The sequence below is a fragment of the Homo sapiens genome, chromosome 8 (assembly GCF_000001405.40).
Source record: "Homo sapiens chromosome 8, GRCh38.p14 Primary Assembly".
NCBI lineage: Eukaryota > Metazoa > Chordata > Mammalia > Primates > Hominidae > Homo > Homo sapiens.
This window is the reverse complement of record NC_000008.11, coordinates 66076169-66097085: the sequence shown is the minus strand read 5'-3', so window position 1 is coordinate 66097085 and position 20917 is coordinate 66076169. Positions and strand designations below refer to the sequence as shown.

At 38.8% G+C, this 20917-nt stretch overlaps 1 protein-coding gene across 4 annotated transcripts in view; it reads right to left on the bottom strand.

The window, feature by feature from the left end:
• The window catches only part of DNAJC5B (DnaJ heat shock protein family (Hsp40) member C5 beta), an 86268-nt gene that overhangs the window by 4160 nt on the left and 61191 nt on the right, over positions 1–20917 (bottom strand). For 3 of the 4 annotated variants that reach the window (NR_146171.2, NM_001349432.2, NM_033105.6), the window contains 2 exons: positions 20213–20426; positions 16538–16709 (listed from right to left, as the gene is read on the bottom strand). Coding sequence is in view for 3 of the 4 variants with exons in the window: in NM_001349432.2 (NP_001336361.1) it covers positions 16538–16709; positions 20213–20426 (386 nt within the window). In the remaining variant the exon portion in view is untranslated. Of the gene's footprint in view, positions 1–10138; positions 10353–16537; positions 16710–20212; positions 20427–20917 lie in introns of those variants that run through there. The other variant, XM_011517620.3, reaches the window with a different exon arrangement.

Below are 20917 nucleotides of genomic sequence, written 5' to 3'. Positions count from 1 at the left end.
ATATTAACTCACTCAATAGTTATAATAATGCTATGAGGTAGGGTTGTTATTATAACCATTTTACAAATAAGAAAATGGGCACAGACTGTGTAACTAGGCCAAGGTTACACGGGTAGTGAGCAATAGAGCTGATATTCAAACCAAGGCAGTGTTTCTCAGAGGTCTGTTCTCTTCAAGACTATTTCTCTATTGCCTCTCACGAAAAGTAGGTTAGTAGAAAAAGATCAAAGTACATTATATTGAAGATAATAAATACCAATGGATATAGTACTCTATTTAAAAGAAAAATATTGTCAGACTGAATTTTAAAAACCCAAGCTACATTTAAAAATAAGGATAAAAATAGAGACTAAAATGATGAAAACATATTTACCACACAAACACTAGTGGGAAGAAAGCTAATGTAAGTATATTTTAATGGACAAAATAAGATATAAGACAAAAGCATTTCTGGGGCTAGAAGTGACTCCATAATAATAAAATGTTTAATTCACCAAGTAGCTGTAAATATTCTAAACTTATATATACTAATAACATAACCTCAAAATCAAAATCATAAATCAAAAATCGAAAGAACTTTATAGAGAAATAGAAAAATTCATCATCACTGTGGAAAATTTGACTGCTTTCAGCACCTAACTCATGAAATCAAGCAAGGAAATCTTATGTAGAATTTGAAAAGGACTATGTTATGGACAGAATTGTGTCTCCCCAAAATTCGTATGTTGAAGTCCTAATTCCTAGTACCTTACAATGTGATCATATTTGGAGATAGGGTCTTTAAAGAGGTAATTAAGTTAGAAGGAAGTCACTAGAGTGGGCCCTAATCCAACAGGACTGGTGTCCTTACAAGAAGAGATTTGGACACAGAGGAAACACCATGTGAAATCATAGGGAGATGAACAGCTACAAAACAAGAAGAGGGGTGTCAGAAGAAACCAACCCTGCTACCTTGATCTCTGACTTCTGACCTCCAGAACTGTGAGAGAATAAATTTCTGTTGTTTAAACCCCCAGTTTGTAGTACTTTGTTATGGCTGCCTTAGCAAACTAATATATACAATAAATTAGCTTTATTCAATAGACATATATGGAACAATGAACATAACAAATGCAGAATGTGTTGTTTTGAAGCAATGTGGAACATTTATAAAAACTGGCTAAGTTCCAGGCTGTACAGCAAGTCCTAAGACATTTCAAAGCACTGGTATCATAGTGTTGACATTTTCTGATCACAGAGCAGTCAAGTTAGATACAAACAACAAAAAGTAACCTCGAAATCCCAAGATTGAAAATTAAGATATACACAGGCCTAGCTTAAAGAAAAAATCATAATAGAAATCAGAAAATATTTAGAACTCAGATGATGAGAACAATATAAGAACATTGTATGTGTGTGTGTGTGTGTGTGTGTGTGTGTGTGTGTGTCAAGCTAAAGTATAACTTATAAGAAAATTCAAAATTTATAGTCTTAAATTTTTAATGTAAGAACAGAGGAAGGGCTGAAAATTAAGAAGTACAAAAATTAAGAAGTTAGAAAATGAACAAAATAAACTGAGAAATAAGAAAGAAAGAAAGAAATTAAGTAGAAACAATCAACAAAACCAAAAGTTGTTTATTTGAGAAGACTGATAATATTGTAAGACATCTGGTGAGAATGGTTAAAAAAAAGAGAGAGAGAGAGAAAGCAGAAATGACCAATGTAAAGAATAAAAAACAGAATAATCATGCAGATACTATAGATGTATGAAGGATAAGAGGAAATCTTGAAGAAACCATTTTTTCTTTTTGTAAATAAAAAAGAAGGGAAACCTAACTGGTCTATAAACATTAAGTAAATTAAATCAATAGTTTAAAATTTGCACAGTTACATGCTAGCCCAGAAAGTTCTTCAGAATCCTGTAGAAAGAATCCCAGTATTACACAAACTCTCCAAGAGAAGTAAAAAACAAAGGAATACTTCGTAATTTATTTCATGAGGCATAATCTTGATACAAAATACAGTAAGGAAAGTTTGAGAAAGGGAAATTATAGACCACTCTCATTAATATTGTCACAAACATCTAAAACAAAATATTGACCAGCTCATTTCATCAAATAATACAATAGTCAATACATGAAGACTATGCTGAATTTAATTATCTAAGGAGTGCAAAGTTGTTTTAATATTGGAAAACCAATTCACATAATTCATCACATTAACAGATCAAAGGAGAAAAATCATGACCATCTCTGATGAAGAAAAAATATTTGAAAAAATTTTACATCCGTGATCAAATATGAAGGTCTAACAAAATAGGAATAGAAGACAATTTTCTTAACCTGATCAAAAACCTACGGCAAACCTACTAATTATGATGCAACCCTGAAAGTACCTTCTCTTCAACATTTTACTAGTAGTCTTGGCAAACACAGAAAGGCAAAACAAAAACTGGGTTCACATACTTGGTGCGGTTTAAAAAAAATAAAAAATGATAAGAGATGGAGGGGAAGAATCAAAACTGTCAGTACTCACAGATGAGACAAACAGTTAAGTAGAAACCCTAAAGAATTTACAGGTAAATAATTAAAATTAGCAAGAGAGTTTACCTAGTTTCTTGGATTCAAAAATCAATGTTTTTAAAAGTACATTTCTATATGCCAGAAAACAAGTAGGAAAATACATATATAATTGATTGGTAGTAAGAAAAATGGTAAAGTATTCAAAAATAAATGTAATAAAGATATAGAAAATACATCCTTAGTGAAAGCTAATAAATGGTGAAATATACCATGTCACATATTAAAAGACTCAGATTCTTAAAGGTGTCAATTCTACCTGTTGATCTGTAGATTCACTGCAATTCTAACCAAGATCCTAAAAAGTTTTGCTTAGGGAATTCTTGTTAAATAACTTGACAAAAACCTGATTTTGAGATTTATATAAGAAAGCAAAATGCTAAGGATATATGACTCACCTGAAGTACAAGTGAGGAGGATTTGCTTAAACAGATATTAGGGATTGTGATAAATGGGCTTGGTATTGCATAAAAAAAAAGACCAACGGACTAGAACAGAAAGCCCAGAAACTGCTCCATATATCTATTGAAACTTAATGTTTATCAAAACCAAAATTAGAAATCAGTGTGCTGAAACAATTTGTTTTCTATCTGGAAAAAAAATGAAATTGGAGTCCCACATCATACTACATGTAAAAATCAATTCCAGGTGATTAAACTCTTATATGTGAAAAGGCAAAACTATAAAACTTTGAAAATCTATATAGGAGAACATCTTTATATGTTTGAGGTAGCACAGGATTTCTTAATCAAACCACAAAAATCACTAAACGTAAAGGCAAAGACTGAAAGTCTGTCTACATTAAAATCAAGAACTTTGATTCATCAAAAAATGCCATAAAGAGTAAAACACCAAATCACAAACTGGGAGAATATGTTTTAAATAAACATAATCAATGAAGAATCAATACCCAGAATATTTTAAAAATCAGTAAGGAAAAGGCAGATGATATAATTTTAAAACCTGCAAAAGATCTGAAAGGGCATTTCATAGAAGGGGAAACCCAAATGAGCAATGAACATATGAAAAGATGTTCAACTTTAATCAAGGAGATAAAAATTAGAACCACAATGACACACCATTTCCCACCTACTAGATTGTCACACATTTACCATCAGGGGATGTCAAGTGGAGGCAAGGGTGTGGGGCAACAGGAACTCTCGTTACCGGTTAGTGGGAATGTAAATTAGTGCAATGATTTTGCAGAACTGCTTGATGTTACCTAATAAGTTGTACAAGTGCATATCCTTTGACTAAGTAATTGCATCCTCCGTATATACCTAGAAAAACTCTAGCATTCATGCACCAGAAAATACATGCAAGAACATTCATAACAGCACCGTTTGTAATGGCAAAAAGTGGACAGTACTCAAATGTCCATTAGCAGTAGAATGGATAAGTAAATTATGGGATGTTCTCCCAAAATATTATACAACAGTGAAAATACATGAATGACAGTCACAATGTGAATGAATCTCAGAAGGACAACGCTGAATGGAGCACACACAGACATAAAATGGGAATAACAGACACTGCGGGCTGCTAGAGTGGGAAGGGGAGAAGCAGACATGGGTTGAAAAAGTAACTATTGGGTACTATGCTCACTACCTGGGTGACAGGATCTGTACCCCACACTTCAGCGTCACACAATATACCCATGTAACAACCCTGCACATGTACCCACGAATCTAAAATAAAAGTTGAAACTATTTTTTTAAAAAAGAAATATTACACAGTAAAAATAAAGATGAAGAAAGATAATTATTGCATATAAATCTATTCATTTAAGTTCAAAAATAGGGAAAACCAAGCAATATGCCATTAAGATTATAAATATAGTTGTAATACTAAAAAGAATAGTAAGAACTGGTTACACATGATTTAAGATCATTACGTCTGAGGAGGGAAGAGCAAACAAGGAGCTCTAAAGGTGATGGTAACATTCTTTTTCTGAGGTAGAAACTCAGGTCATACTTATTTGTATCATTTAATATTTGAGAAAAACAATAACAGATAAAGGAGTTAGGCGAATTACCCCGAGAACCTCAACCAGTATCTTAGAGAGCTGAGGCCTGAGCCAGGATTGTCTGACTCCACAGCCCTCTGTCCTAGCTCCTGGCGTAGACTGCCCTCAAGGTAGCTGGTGTAATAGGCTGAGTCACCTTTGCCCTGTCCCTTTTCGTGGATGTTAATGCCTGGCTTAGGCCTGTGATTTCCTCCACTCGTTGTGCTGCGTGAATTTGCAGAGAACAAAGGACTCTCCTTTTCTGAAGGAAGGGTGTTCAGTTTCTTTTTCTAGTCAAATCTTGGTCTACCCTCTCCCCTACTATATATTTTGAAAATTGAGATGAGATTCACATAACTTAAAACCAACCACTTTAAAGTGAACAATTCAGTGGCATTGAGTACATATACAGTTAATGTATGACTCACACTTTGTCTAATTGCAAAACATTTTTATCTCCCCAAAAGGGAACCCAGTCCCCATTAAACAGTTGCTCCCTATTCTTCCTGCCCCACAGGCCCTGGCAACCACCAATCTACTTCCCGCCTCTTTGGATTTACCTATTCTGAATATTTCATATAAATGGAATCATACAATGTTTGTCCTTTTGTGTCTGATTTCTTCCATCTAGCATGATCTTCCCAGGTTCATCCATATTGTAGCATCCACATGTATCAGTACCTCATTCCTTTTTACGGCTGAATAATATTTCACCTCCCCTCTATATTTTTGCATTTTTCACCATGGAGTCTCTCAAGTCCTTTTTCCCCTTTCCTAGGTAATCCTACCACTCTTGCACTTCTCTAGTACATTGGGGATGGGGATTCCAGCTACTTCCACTTATCATGTTTCATTTTGATGGTTTGAACCTTTGTCTAAGCATATCTCAGTTTGGGTTTCTTTGAAAAATAGTCATTGCACAACTTCTGCTTCATTCGATTACTTGATAAAACTATTCAATAGAACAGCCCAATATGACTCTACCTGCCTTGCCTGGCATGCAAAGCTCCATTCACCATCTTATCCACAAGAATATGGGGAGAGGCTGTGACAATTCTTTGCTTGTACTAAGATTGGTCCCTTCTAGAGTGCACCATCCCCAGAATCCCCTACCCCTCAACTCCTCCTCCTTCTTAAAGTCTTCTGCTTTAAATGTCACTTCGTGGGAAAGTGTCCTCAACCTGCACGCAGGTGAGGCCCCAAGTGCTCACTTTCACAGCCCCTGTGCTTCTCCTTTGGCAGGCTTATTGTACCTGTAAATTAACTAGTTCTTCATGTGATTATTTACTTAATATTTGTCTTCCCTTCTCCCCTTCTAGTTTGTAAGGTCCAAAGTACCAGGAACTATGTCTTCATTTCCTCTAGCCCCTGGCATGGCATCAGGCAAATACTAAGTGCTCAGCAAATGTTTGCTATTGAAAGACTATCTCAATAAACCTGACCAGTAAGTTTGCTCACTGAACCTAGATGGCCAAAAATCAAAGAAATCTTGGGTTCACTTTGAGCTGCTTTTTGGGGGAGCATTCAGAGCTGACAAGCCTGTCTTACTGCTCTGGCCCAAGAGCTTGATGGTGCTTGCTTGATATTTTCATATAAAGAAGAAGCAAAGCATTCTTGACTAGTTGCAAGCATTGTTTTCCATGTATTATTTTTAGAAATTGATTCCTTTTGACTGGGGGAAAGGGGTAGGATGAAGCTTGAGTGGTGAGTGGCAAAAAGGGGAAGGATGAATTTAATCTCTTCCTTGGTGCCTTTTTCCTGGGCAGTAAGATGTGATGAATACTAAATAGCAAATGTAATAAATGTCTCAATATCTTGGCCGAAAGTGAGAGTCTAATTACAAGCCATATGGCCTCTTCATCTCAGTGGTTGTGTGGTTGTGAATGTATTTGGGTTTTATCCAGGTGAGTGGCAAGAACAGTTAAGCAGTCAACAGATTTTTCTATGCACCGAATCTCACATTTTTAGATCCAAGGTCAATAATATAAAACACTTTCTCTTTTATTCTCCCTCCTTTAAAAAAAATTGGGGAAATCATGACTCCACAGTTTTTTTGTTTGTTTGTTTGTTTTAGGGTTTAGCTGGAAATTTTGGTTGGATGTCATTCTACTGCCTTCAGCTTGGAAAAACCAAACTGAATTTAGATCTTATATTTTGGGTTTGCTTTGCCAGGGTGTTCAGAGGTAACTGGTTCCGATTTGGGCTCTTGCTTCCATACCTTCTCTCTCTCTCTCTCTCTACCACACACACACACACACACACACACACACATGCCTGCACGCACACACACTACATACACATACATTGTCCCATGAAACAAGGCTCTCTCTCAAGATGGTCTGTAAAGCCCTCATAGTGGAATTCTGATTTCATTGTGGCCTTCAACTGCTAGAGGAGTATAGGGTCTAAGTGAGCTTTTTAAAAATATACCACCCCAAATTTCACAATGTAGAACTCCTAATTTGTGAACATATGAAAGTAAGGGAAATAAGTTGGTACCTATTACCTTTTACCTTTAAGGTTTCAAATTTTCAAAGACAACAAAACTGGGGAAGGGTTCCCCCAAGACACTATCTATCTTCCATTTGATCTTGATTGATTCATAAGAACAATAGAATGCCTCTGTGTTCCTGGGATCTCATTGGGAGTATATTTCTATTTTAAGAAAGACATAGGAATCTGCTTATAAGTTCTGTAGTTGCCAGTGAATACTGAAGATGCCACTGTTTGAACTTCCCCCCTTTATTTCTTAAAGGTAGAAGCTGGATTATACTTTCCGATATAGTTTAAAGGGACATAAAAACCCAAACAAATCTCTCCCTTCTGCTACCAAATCCCACCCTGTACCACCACTATTGAACAAAGATTGATACAATTTTGTATCATCAAAAGGTATCTTAGACTTTAGCTAGAGTCAAGGAGTAGGCATGTTTGAATATGCACATAATAATAAATATGCAAGAAAAAGTCTTAGATACATAATTAGAATTGTTAAAAGTATCTTAAGGCAGGTGAAAAATATTTCTAATAGTTTTTATAAGTCAACAGTTAAGAAAGGATTTGATATTTCAAATTTGGATTTCATAAATTAAGAAATAGTTATAATGTCCTATAACATGTACTCAAAAGTGAAATTTGTGGTGTTTGGTCACTGATATGGTTTGGCTCTGTGTTCCCACACAAATCTCATCTTGAATAGTAATCCCTACATGTCAAGGGAGGTGATTGGATCATAGAGACGGTTTCCCCCATGCTGTTCTCTTGATAGTGAGTTATTACAAGATCTGATTAGGTTAAAAGTGAGGCACTTCCCTTTCACTCACTCCTCTGTCTCCTGTCGCCTTGTGAAGAAGGTGCTTGCTTCTCCTTCACCTTCCTCCATGACTGTAAATTTCCTGAGGCCTCCCCAGCCATGCAGAACTGTGAAGTCAATTAAACCTCTTTTGTTTATAAATTACCCAGTCTCAGGTGGTATCTTTATAGCAGAGTGATAACAGACTAATACAGAAAATTGGTACAGGCAGAGTGGGGTACTGCTATAAAGATAACCTGAAAATATGGAAGTGACTTTGGAACTGGGTAACAGTCAGAGGTTGGAACAGTTTGGAGGGCTCTGAAGAAGACAGGAAGATGTGGGAAAGTTTGGAACTGTCTAGAGACTTGTTGAATGGCTTTGACCAAAATGCTGATAGTGATATGAACAATGAAGTCCAGGCTGAGGTGGTCTCAGACGGAGATGAGGAACTTGTTGGGAACTGAAGCAAAGGTCACTCATGCAGAGACTGACAGCATTTTGCCCCTGCCCTAGAGATCTATGGAACCTTGAACTCGAAAGAGATGATTTAGGGTATCTGGTGGAAGAAATTTCTAAGCAGCAAAGCATTCAAGAGGTGATCTGGCTGATTCTGAAAGCCTTCAGTTATATGTGTTCACAAAGAGATGGTTTGAAATTGGAATTTATGTTTAAAAGGCAAGCAGAGCATAAGGTTTGGATTTGCAACCTGACTATATGGTAGAAAAGAAAAATCCATTTTCTGGGGAGGAATTCAAGCCTGCTGCAGAAATTTGCATAAGTAACGAGAAGCTGAATGTTAATAGCCAAGATGATGGGGAAACTGTCTCCAGGGCATGTACAGACCTTCACAGAAGGACCTCCCATCACAAGCCTGGAGGCCTAGGAGAAAAAAAAATGGTTTCTTGGGCCAGGGCCAGGGCCCCACTGCTCTGTGCAGCTTCAAGACTTGGTGCCCTGCATCCCAGCCACTCCAGCTCCAGATGAGGCTGGAAGGGGCCAAGGTACAGCTAAGGCTATTGCTTCAGAGGGTGCCTCAAATCTTGGTGGCTTCCACGTGGTATTGGGCCTCCTGGTGTGCAGAAGACCAGAGCTCAACTTTGGGATCCTCCACCTAGATTTCAGAGGATGTATGGAAATGCCTGGATGTCCAGGCAGAAGTCTACTGCAGGGGTAAAGCCCTCATGGAGAGCCTCTGCTGGGGCAATGCAGAAGGGAAATATGGGTTTGGAGCCCCCACACACAGTCCCTACTGGGGCACTGCCTAGTGGAGCTGTGAGAAGAAGGCTACCATCCTCCAGATCCTAGAAAGGTAGATCCATCAATAGCTTGCACCAAGAACCTGGAAAAGCCACAGGCACTCAATGCCAGCTGGGAAAGGCAGCTGCAGGGGCTGTACCCTGCAGAGCCACAGGGCCAGAGCTGCCCAAGGCTGTGAGGGCCCACCTCTTGCATCAACATGCCCTAGATATGAGACATAAAATCAAAGGAGATTTTGGAGCTTCAAGATTTAATGACTGCCCAGCCAGGTTTCAGACTTGTCTGGGGCCTGTGGTCCCTTTGTTTTGACCAGTTTCTCCCATTTGGAATGGGAACATTTACCCAACGCCTGTACCTCCATTGTATCTTGGAAGTAACTAACTTGCTTTTGATTTTACAGGCTCATAGGTAGAAGGGATGTGCCTTGTCTCAGATGAGACTTTGGACTTGGACTTTTGAGTTGATGCTGGAATGAGTTAAGACTTTTGGGGACTATTGGGAAGGCATGATTGGTTTCGAAATGTGAAAAGGACATGAGGTTTGGGATGGGCCAGGGGCAGAATGATATGGTTTGGCTCTGCGTCCCTATCAAATTTTATCTCAAATTGTAATCTCCATGAGTTGAGGGACGGACCTGGTGGAAGGTGACTGGATTATGGGGCTGGTTTCCCTCATCCCATTCTCACAATAGTGAGTGAATTCTCATGAGATCTGAAAGTTTAAAAGTGTGGAACTTCCCCTTTGCTCACTCTCTCTCACCTGTCACCTTATGAAGAAGGTGCTTGCTTCTTTTTCACCTTCTGCCATGATTGTAAGTTTCCTGAGGCCTCCTCAGCCATGAGGAACTGTGAGTCAATTAAACCTCTTTTGCTTATAAATTACCCATACTCTGGTTGTATCTTTATAACAGTGTGAAAACAGACTAATACAGTAACTGAATTCAAATCATAAATGTATTTCCCTAGTTAATCCCTGTTCCTTTCTCTTATTTTTTAGTATAGTAAGGTATAAGAAGACAAAGTGTTAAGTAGCTATTACTTTTATTCTGGAGTAAAGATTGCCCCATATCAGTTTTACTATACTTTGCATCTTGACATTTCTGGATAAAAGATGGGGAGAATAATAGAAGAAAGAACTGCTAACCATATTTCCTTAAAATTAGTGCTCATGTATGAAAAATTAATTTCCTGTGGTAATCTTCATATGCTGGTCAAATCTCCAAGTACAATATAATAATCTGTAACATAGAATTTAGATGGGTAATTAATATAAAGCCCTGGCTCCACTTAGTCTTCCCCATCCCACCTTGTCTCATCTTAATTAGTTTTCCCCTTCCCTAAAACCAGAGTATTATGCTCTGGAGGCATTTTGTCTTCTTCCTTGCCAGTGAGGGTTGGCTCCTCTGTTCTTTTAAACATCTTTATATAATGTAGATTTTTTAATGTAAATGTAAAGGTAGCTAATAGTTCCTTCAAAGAAAAATTTCTGTTGGCAAAAGTCATCAAACTTGAAATCCTGATTTATAGTACACACAAGGAAATATCCTCAGTAGTGGCTATATAACTTGCCAAACCCAGTTCAAAATGAAAATGTGAGGTACCTTATTCAAAAATTAAGAATTTTAAGACAGTGACAGCACAGCAGCAAACCAAGTGCTAGAAATCTTAGACAGTGCAACAAGGCAAGAAAAAGAAACAAAAGGAATACAGATTGGAATGGAAGAAATAAAACTGTTTCTATTTGTAGATGATATAATTGTCTGCATAGAAAATCCCAAGGAATTTACACACACACAAAAATCCAAACTGTTAAATGAGTTTAGCAAAGACATGGGATACAAAGGCAATATAAAAAGAAATTGTAAATACTTGCAATGAACAACTGCAAGCAAAATTAAAACCAATGCCACTTACAATAGCTCTCTCCAAAATGAAATACTTAGGTACCCATTTAACAAGACATTACCAGCTTTGTATGCCAAAAACTACAAAATGTTCATGAAAGAAATCAAATGAGACGTGGATAAGTAGAGATACATATTGTTGATGGATTGGAATATTCAACATAGTAAAGATGTCAATTCTTTCCAAGCTGATCTACAAATTTAATGCAATTCCAATAAAAATCCCAGCAGGATTTTTCTGTAGATATAGACAACTTGATTCTAAAATTTATATGGAAAAGCAAAGATACTAGAAGAGCCAAAACAATTTTGTAAAAAAAAATAAAGTTGGAAGAATCACACTACCTGATTTTAAGGCTTACTTTAAAGCTACAAGAGAGCAAGACAGTGTGGAATTGATGAAGAGATAGACACATAGATCAATGGGACAGACTAGAGAGTATAGGAATAGGTTCATAGAAATATGGCCAATTGATATATATATATATATTTTTTGAGATGGAGTCTCGCTCTGTCACCCAGGCTAGAGTGCAGTGGTGCAATCTCCGCTCACTGCAAGCTCCACCTCCCGGGTTCACACAATTCTCCTGCCTCAGCCTCCCGGATTTATTTTTATTTTTATTTTTTTGAGATGGAGTCTTGCTCTATCACCCAGGCTGGAGTGCAGTGGCACGACCTCTGCTCACTGCAACCTCTGCCTCCCGGGTTCAAGCAATTCTCGTGCCTCAGCCTCCTGAGTCGCTGGGATTACAGGCACCTGCCACCATGCCCAGCTAATTATTGTATTTTTAGTAGAGACAGGGTTTCACTGTGTTGGCCAGGCTGGTCTTGAACTCCTGGCCTCAAGCGATCCACCAGCCTCCGCCTCCCAAATTGCTGGGATTACAGATGTAAGCCACTGTGCCCGGCCCTGGCCAATTGATTTTTGGCAAAGATGGAAAGACAATTCAATGAAGAAAGGATACATAGTAGAGACCATGTAGAGGATACAGAGAACATTTTCAACAAATGGTCTTAGAACAATTAGATTCCATATTCAAGAAGAAAAAAAAAAGAGTCTGAACCTAAACCTCACACCTTATATGAAAGTTAACTCAAAATGCGTCATAAATCTAAATGTTAAACATAAAACTCAGAAACTTTTAGAAAACATTGGAGAAAGTCTTTATGACATAAAGTTAGTCTGAGTTCTCAACATAACACCACAAAAGCACAATCAACTTAAAAAACAACTGATAAATATGATTTCATCAAAATTTTCCTCTGCAAAGATGCAGGAAAAGGGCATAATAACATGTGGATACCACATTTTTGTAAAACACAAAAAAGTTTACACAAAAACTGTATAAATGTAATTGTGTTTTGGTATCCTTGAGTGGTGCCTGAGGGTGGACTGTAGAGTTATGTTAGACTCTATGCCCTCCTTTGGTGGCTGAATTTTTATGGGCATCTCTTACTTATAAACAAAGTCCTAAACCTCCCCACCACAGGCGGCTTTCAACTGAGCAGCTGCCTAGAAAAGCCATGCAGAGGTGAGGGTTGATTCCTCAGATTCCTCCCAAGTCTAAAATCCTAAGATTTTTTTTATTAGATCCTACCTAAGAATGAAGGATTCCCCAAGTGATAAACAGTTTGCCATTTTTGAATTAAACTTCAGAATCATTAAAATAAGATTCTTAAAGCCCCAGTGTCATACCAGTGCCTTCTAATGGATTCAAACCTTGATGATTGCTGTTTATTCTTTGTCTTGAGTCACTTGATTTTTAAGTGGCTAGTAGACTCTTTCAAGTGTATTTTCTTAAAGAACCTTAAGTGAGTCCCCTTCTTTTGCAGAGCAGATGCAAGTCCAGTCCATTTATTGGACCACAGTCCAGAAAGCTTAGTCTTCAGATGAAGTCTGATTTTCATCCTTAACCAGCCTGAGCTCTGGATTAGTGGAGTATAAACGTGAATCTAACTAATACAACTAACTGCAAATAAGGCATAGTTCCTTATAAGGAGAGGGTAGATCCAAGAGCAGTGCTGGATTTACTGCACAGTTAATGAAACTTCAGCTCAGGGACCCTCACCTGTGCCTTCCAAGGGCCTGTTGGGGCCCTAACGATGTGTTCACATTTTGTGTTATTTGCAAAAGACAGATATTTTGGCCACAATCAACAAAAACATCTCTTTCCACTTTGACTTTCCTTCCATCACATTTCTCTGTCTGATGAGTGGCAGCAGAGGGACTGTAGACATTTTGGGGATTTGATTAAGGGGATAAAGAGTTAGGGATAGGTTTCAGTTTAATTTAGTGGGATACGTTTTTGTGGTTTGCAGCAACTCTGTTTGTTAATTATTGTAGCCCCACGAGTGTAGAAATGACTTTAGGTAGATTCCTACAGCTCACTGTGCCAATTCACTTGCTGAGGGGACATGAAAATCTAAACCAGAGGTGATGTTACAAAATGTGAATGTGTCCATTGGGCTCTAATGCTGGGAGTACTGGTTGGAGTAAGGACAACAAGGTTTGAAATGTACAAATCAAAGGTGTTCTGTGGAAAATTCCTCCAAATCTTATATCTTCTATATGAAATAAACTAAATAGGTGTTTTCCTGAATTTGACAACAATCCCTAAAAATGTAGACAACATTATCAATAATGAGTTGTAAAGCTGAAATAAACTTTTCTAATTTACCAGTAATAAAACTTTTTGATCAAACATGCTAGAGGAAAGGCAGATTTTTCTATTTTTTTCATAGAAAATATTTCAAAATGGCCAGGTGTGGTGGCTCACACCTGTAATCCTAACACTTTGGGAGGCCAAGGCAGGAGGATCACAAGGTCAGGAGATCAAGACCATCCTGGCTAATACGGTGAAACCCAATCTCTACTAAAAATACAAAAAATTAGCCGGGTGTGGTGGCACATGCCTGTAGTCCCATCTACTCGGGAGGCTGAGGCAGGAGAATTGCTTGAACCCGGGAGGCGGCGGTTGCAGTGAGCCGAGATCGTGCCACTGCACTCCAGCCTGGGCAACAGAGAGAGAGACTTCATCTCAAAAAAAAAAAAAAAAAAAAAAAAGAAAAGAAAAGAAAATATTACAAAATTATTGCTATATTAATATGAAGAAGCAATCAATGGATGTGCAGCCACAAAGCCTCAGGGGAAGCGTGTTGCAGAGCTGTGCCAGACAGTTAATTAAACAATTGCGATTTTTCTAGATTTTGTGAAATTTATGGTATTGTTAAGTATTTAAGCCTTGCAATTTGTTGTGATTTCTTTTTCTCATTCTAAATATATATTCACTTTCAGATCAATTTTGTGTTCTTTTTCTTAAAGAGGTTTGCCCAAATTGTGTAAATTTCAAGTCCCACAAAATCTGGATCCCTGCATAGGAGCTGCTAAATATTTAGAAACAAGATAAAGCTTTTCCTTTTGGTTAAGAATTCTTAACATAGTCAAACAGGATCGTGGTTTACTTCATCCAGGATCTGACCTCTGTGATGGAATTGATAGCTCTGGGGTGTCAGAGCTGAGAACAGTGAGAGACATGTAGATTCATCACCAATCACCCAGCAGGGAGGAAACCTGGGTGGAATCTGGCACCTAGTATGGATTTCTGTTCCAGAAAAGAAATCTTCCACAAAGAAGGTCTACTGAAATGACCTGGTGAAGCTTTTATCTAATTTAAAACAGGAAAGACTGTGAGGCTGTTCAGAGAAGTGTGAAACACTGGATTGGGGATATCTAGGTTCAATCCTAGATTGAACCTAGGTATCCTAGGGGATACCTAGGTTTGGTTTTCCCACTGTAAAGGAAAAGTTCAGTTAGGTTGACCCAGTGGAGGATGTTGAAGATACTCTCCTATCTTGCTGTCTCTTCTGGTCCTGTCAGTGACTGAGTACTGGGCTGGGCTGATGGATGTTATGGGAGATCCTATGGTCTATGGGGCCAGCAACCCCTGACATAATCTTGTAACAGTTTCTCTCCTTTACAAGAGCAGATAGGATTCAGATGCTAGGATTGTCATTCTCAGGCAAGTTGTGTCAATGTCACGGACCTTTTCCTGAAGAAAAGGAGTTTCCATGCATACATTACTCCTTAACCCATTTACTTGTAATCCTGCTTGCTTGGTCTTCTTGGTATAAATGACCCCATTAAAAGATTAATTTGTCCTTTTACATCTTGAATAAAGGAAAATAAAGTTATAATTCTGTTTCACCATGGGCCCACAATTTGGCTTCAAGGTCAGTAATAAAAAATGGTCAGAACAACCCCTCTGTTTGCTGGATTGGCCACCTACAGGTCCCCACAGCAAGGGGTCCCAGGTTTCAAGAAAACTCCTTCTGTCCTCTCTAAGCTCCCAAGCCTGAAAGAGTCTGGGAATCTGTACAATTTACATGATTGAAGACCCCTTCCTCTGAGCTGGAGTCAGGGTGGGTAATACCTGGATATTACTTAACACTGCATTTCATAGGGAATAAAAGGTGTGTGGAAGCCTTTAACTAGTCTCCAGTGCTTGACAACCTGGAATTTCCTTTTCAGTATGATCAAAAGAATCAGAGTACAATACAGTCCAGAAAAGTACACTGTTCCTAATTTTAGCAGTTCTGACAAAAATGGGCCACTGTCTGAATTATCAAGTAATTCTTTTATTTGGCTGTCTAGGTTTTTTGGGGATTCAGTGATAAAGTCTGTACTCCAGGATAACTATGAGAGAGAATAATGGGAGAGAATGACAGGAGGATCTTGGCTGTAAGGTGGAGCAGGACAATGGCAGGTCTGACCCCAGCTTCTTTAAACAAAGGCATTTCCCAGAGGACGTAAAGTATTCCTGGTGCTGTGAATCCTGTGAGATCTCATCTTTCTTTACATTTTTAAAATTTTTTCATTTTTGGATAGCATGAACTTGAAGAATCAAGTACTACATCACAGTCATGCATACACATGGACACACGGAGGTGGGTTAGCAACGCAAATAGTCCCATCCTTGATGCTGGTTTGAGGCTACTCCTGAAAGAAGCTATATTTCAGGTAAAGAAGGACTTCTCTCTCCTAGTTCACCCAAATTCATAATCAAGTCATTAAAAAGAAGCAAAGTCAAGGGTTGGTGACTTTTTTTGATGCCCACTTTCTTCTATTTCAAAGGAGATCTTAAAGGAACCGGCTGAAATACTTTTTCTGTGAAAAAATTTCTACCTTGGTTCTCCTGCCCTGAGCATTCTCACCCAATCCTCCCTGAATCCAGTGCTCACTCTCTTGTAATGAGACCTGAATTGTATTTCCTTTGATTCATCATCAGCATATTTCATGATTTTCTTTCTAACGGCATCAGGCACTGCTTTTCTCTATGCCTGGTAAAGGTATCTATCTTTTCATTCTCCCCAGAAGCTGTACCAAAGCTGACAGTCTGTGAAGTTCCACCCATTTGGTTGTGGGAGCTCTCCTACTATAGTGATAGCTGTCCCCGTGGGACCTGGTGCTTGCTCAGGCCTATGAATGGACACTCACTACCTCTGCTCTCATCCTACCCCACCTTTTTCCATGTCAGACTTGATCTGCTCCTCCAGATCCTCTGGGGACACATAGAAGTCCTCTTCTGGCACTGATGACTCGGGCCGGCAGTGTCCACAGCAGCAGTTGCAGCAGCAGCACAGGCAGCAGCAAAAGTAGCAGCCCGTCAAGAGGCCAACGATGACAAACAGGGCCTAGGGAAACAGAGGTAAAGCAAAATGAGGATGAGGGGTGATGGGGTGAGGGGAGAACCCATGAAATCAAGTCTGTACCCAGGTACCCCCAGAGACCTGAACACTTCACAGTTCACCCCACAGGCCACATCTTCACCCTCATCCTTACTCCACATAAGAACTATTTCACTTCCTTAGAAACCAATTTCCTGGTAAAGTTTTGCCTAGTAAATTAGACTCAGAGGAAATGACTTGTAGCCAAAGTAATAAAGTATGGCCTTCCTTTTTTTATTCTTAAGCTATATGGTGATCATTACTAAGAGCAGAGCAAAGCAAGACAAAAACCAAAAAACCAACCAACAAAACCTCTGCAGGTGAAATGAGTTAGCAAGCCCCCTGCCCAGGGGAGCTGAATCATTCTCACCAGAATGATAAAGAATGAACTGTCCGATACCTCCCCCTCCTACACTCACATTCCTGCTGGTCACCAAGTCCTGGATAGCGTCTCTCCTCAAGTCTCTTGCATCCTCCCTCATGCCTCTATCCTGGCCAGCAGGGCTTCAGAACAGACCTTCACTATGTCTAGTCTGGACACTTCAGCAGCCTCGCAACTGGCCTCCCTGCCTCCCCTCTGGCCTCCCTCAAATCCATGCTGCGCATTGCTGATAGAGTGAACTTTCTGAAATACATGTTCTCTTGAACCCATGTGATGGCGCTCCTGCCTCTGAGATACAGCCAAGATCCTTATTATGGTGATCTGGCTCTGCCAATGCCTCCCTGCACCAGCACAGCCCTGTTCTTGCCTTTCATTGCCTTATAACTCTGCTCTCCCTGTGGATTCATCTGTCTGGACGTCCACCTCCCAGTTCCCCAGTCACCTAACAAAATATCCACCTGGTGTGTAAGACTCATCTTAAAGATCCCTTCTATGACATCTTTCCTGATCCTGCCCAAAACAATGACTCCCTCCTTTGTCCCCAGTTGCATTTCATGCAGACTTCTACTTTGGTGCTTTTTTTAAGTGATACTTTTAGAACATTGATCAGTTTGGACTAGACTGTGAGCTTCCTGCAAGCTGGCACTGTCAGCTAGTCATCTTTCAGTTCCTCCTACTGAAGGACTTAGTACCTGGTATGTGTTAGATGCTTATAAAATACCAGCTGAATTAATGATTGTATAAAGTAATAAATAAACAAATGATTTGCTCCACCTGGTGAACAGCAGCAGGATTTCCCCAAAAACATGAAAGGTTTGCTCGCTGTTTGTTATAGCTAAAAACTAAAAGAAACTCTCAACTCCTCCAATGTGAAGTTATAAAAAGTCAGTTTTTGTGAATTGAGCAAAATCAATTTAAGATTTTATCAAAAATATGTAATTTGAAATAGAAAGAAAGAGGTTTATACACCTTTAATTGAAACACAGATTTTATCTAATTAAGGGAGCAAGAGGGACAAAGAGGACTTGTGTGCCTGTGTATTTCTTCAATAACTTCAGGTAGAAATCTTTAATGTTGACAGCCCTCACCTGCCCCACTCCTGCTTCATAGACCTGGGCTTCATCTCTGATTCTGGCCCCAGGTTTGAGGTGGAGCCTCTGGTGGCTTGGAGTAGGGGAGCTTCAGTCACATCCTCAAACATATAATCTCTTTGCTATGGAAAATTTACATTTTCGTAGTCTTAGGTAAATTACTCTGTAAACAACTACAACACCCGCCACCTCACTAACAGTCTCCACAGCCTCCTGTGCAGTGTTCTTGAGCCATTGCCCCAAGAAACTCCTCCCTTTTTTAAGCTATTTTTGTCCTTTTTGTTTTTACCATGCAATTCCCATATTATTCTCTTCTCTGAACTTTTTCTTTTCATTCATATAATGTTTTGTTCTTTATTCCAACTTGATTGTTTGCCTTCTGTGGAAATAGACTTGCTTTATCCCTTACAGTGCTTAGTACAGTACTAGGCACAGGTAGGTGTCCAATATTTTTATAAGTATGTATCTTTGTGGTACACTGATTCATTCATGTAGTGCATATTTATCACATGATTGCTACGTGCAGGGCCATTCTGATGGGTGCCGTGAAATTGGGCTTTGGCACAAGGAGAAGGAAAAGATATGTTTTTCTGTGGTCTTATGTTTAAAGAACCACACCAGGAATTATTTTGCATATCTCTCACACTACTGGGCAGATTCTGCTTGTCCATGTGAATTTTGATCAATTTTGTCAGCTTCCAAAGCAAGGAAGTTTATTCTCATTTTTATGCAGGCAGGCCCTGAGGTGCCATCAGGTGGATGTGTGTAATTATCTGGACCTGCCTCTGCAGTATCTTCCCATGGAAAGAGTGTCACGCCCAGAGGTTGGGTTCCCACGCAAACCCACAAAAGCTTGTACTGTCCTATGAACGTTCAATCTATTGTCATAAATGACATTGTCGGTGTGTACACTCTCATTCCAAATTCCAAATCTGCTCAACAGGAACTTGTCTCTCCCCTAAGTCTTCAACAACAGAGAAAGGGGTTTCAAAGGGGAATCCCAGGTATCCCTGAGAAACAGAACTCTGAGGACTATAGTAAGCAAATTAGGCTAGGTTGCAAGAATCCTTTTGCATGCTGATGTACAAAAACATATTCTCTGTCTTCCTGCATACATAAAACTCAATTTAGCAAGATTTAGTGGAAGAAAATAGCAAACAGATACTACTAGTAAACCTGCCTTTTTAGATATTTAATAATTATTATTATGTATTGGAACTTATATGAATGTGAACCGTCCACAAAATATGTTGATGGACTACATGTATGACCCATGTGTAAACATAGTTTTATCAGAAGATAAGGATATTAATATTCACAAACAAATAAAAACCATCACCAAACATATATATACTAGAGATTCCTAGGAAACCAAACAAAATTTACCACACGAAAGTCAATTCTGATTGCACTAAGCCCTTAAAAATGTCGCCCTTTTCTTGACTAGGTATCCATTTTGCTCTCTGTCCCCATCTCTGCCTCTCCAATTCCCTGTCCTCCACTAGTAAATTCTCACCTTTTCCCCCTAATTTCCTTCTCCTCTACCTCACAGCAGGCTCCAAGTGAGTCTCTGACATAATTACCACTCATTCTTCCCAGTATTGTGTTTGCTGATGTAGCCTATGCTATAGATAGAAAAGGACATGGCTAAATTTGCCCCGTAATAATTTATTAAGCAGTTGTCACACTAATAAATTATTTTTGGTTTTGAGCAATGAGTCAGTCCTTACTTAGTCATTATAAAGAATTAATCTGAAGCTCCAAATTCAAATATAATTAATGTCTAGAAGTATTTTAAATCATGTTGTATCTTACAATTATTTGATGAGCTAAACCAGAAATGATCCTAAATAATAGCATTCAGTGGAAGCAATATCTCCTTTTATTTACCAGAGTTTAATAGCAGGAAGGTTAGACTTCCTTTGAGATGGAATCTAAAAGAGTGATTAATATCATGGTCTTACAGGAGATTGTGAAGAAAGGAAATTCAGTTTCACCTTTGCCCACCAGCTCGACAGCATGAAGTAGGTGTTAACGTTTTCGTCTCCAAACTGCTCGGCCACGTAGAGTCCCAGCGATCCGTACTTGTCGTATATGCTTCTCTTTGAAATGTCGGTAAGTATTGCGTGGGCGTTGTTGATTTCTTTAAACTTCTCAGTAGCAGCTGGATCATCTGGATTCTTGTCTGGATGGTGTTTCAGGGCCAATTTTCTTTTAAAATAAAAGAAAAACAAGGAGAGTGTGTTATTTGACAAGAATGAACCATGGCGTTTTAGAAGGGCACTGTTCATTTGTATATTCTTTATTAGCGCAAATACTGTGAAATGGTGAGTTTCAGACTAGCGGTGATTAACAAGTACATTTTCACTAAATGATGTCCCTTGGTTCGAATGCACAGGCGCAATAGTACTATTTCTCCTCTCACATTTCCAAAGGAATTCTCAGTATCTGCATGACTGTTGAGTCTGAGAGACATTTGTTGTTGGCAAATATGCGAAGTTTCTTTTTACCAAGAAGCTATCAGTAGCCCGCCCCTACAGACCTTTAAGAGTTTCAGCAACAGGACCAGTTTACACCAAACTTCCATTTAGAACCAGAAGAATTTTCCAGAATTAACAGAACGTCACAACATATATTCTAAAAGTTCAACTCAGCTATCAAAAAAGTCTCTCTTGAACAAAATTAAGACCCCTTCATTAATC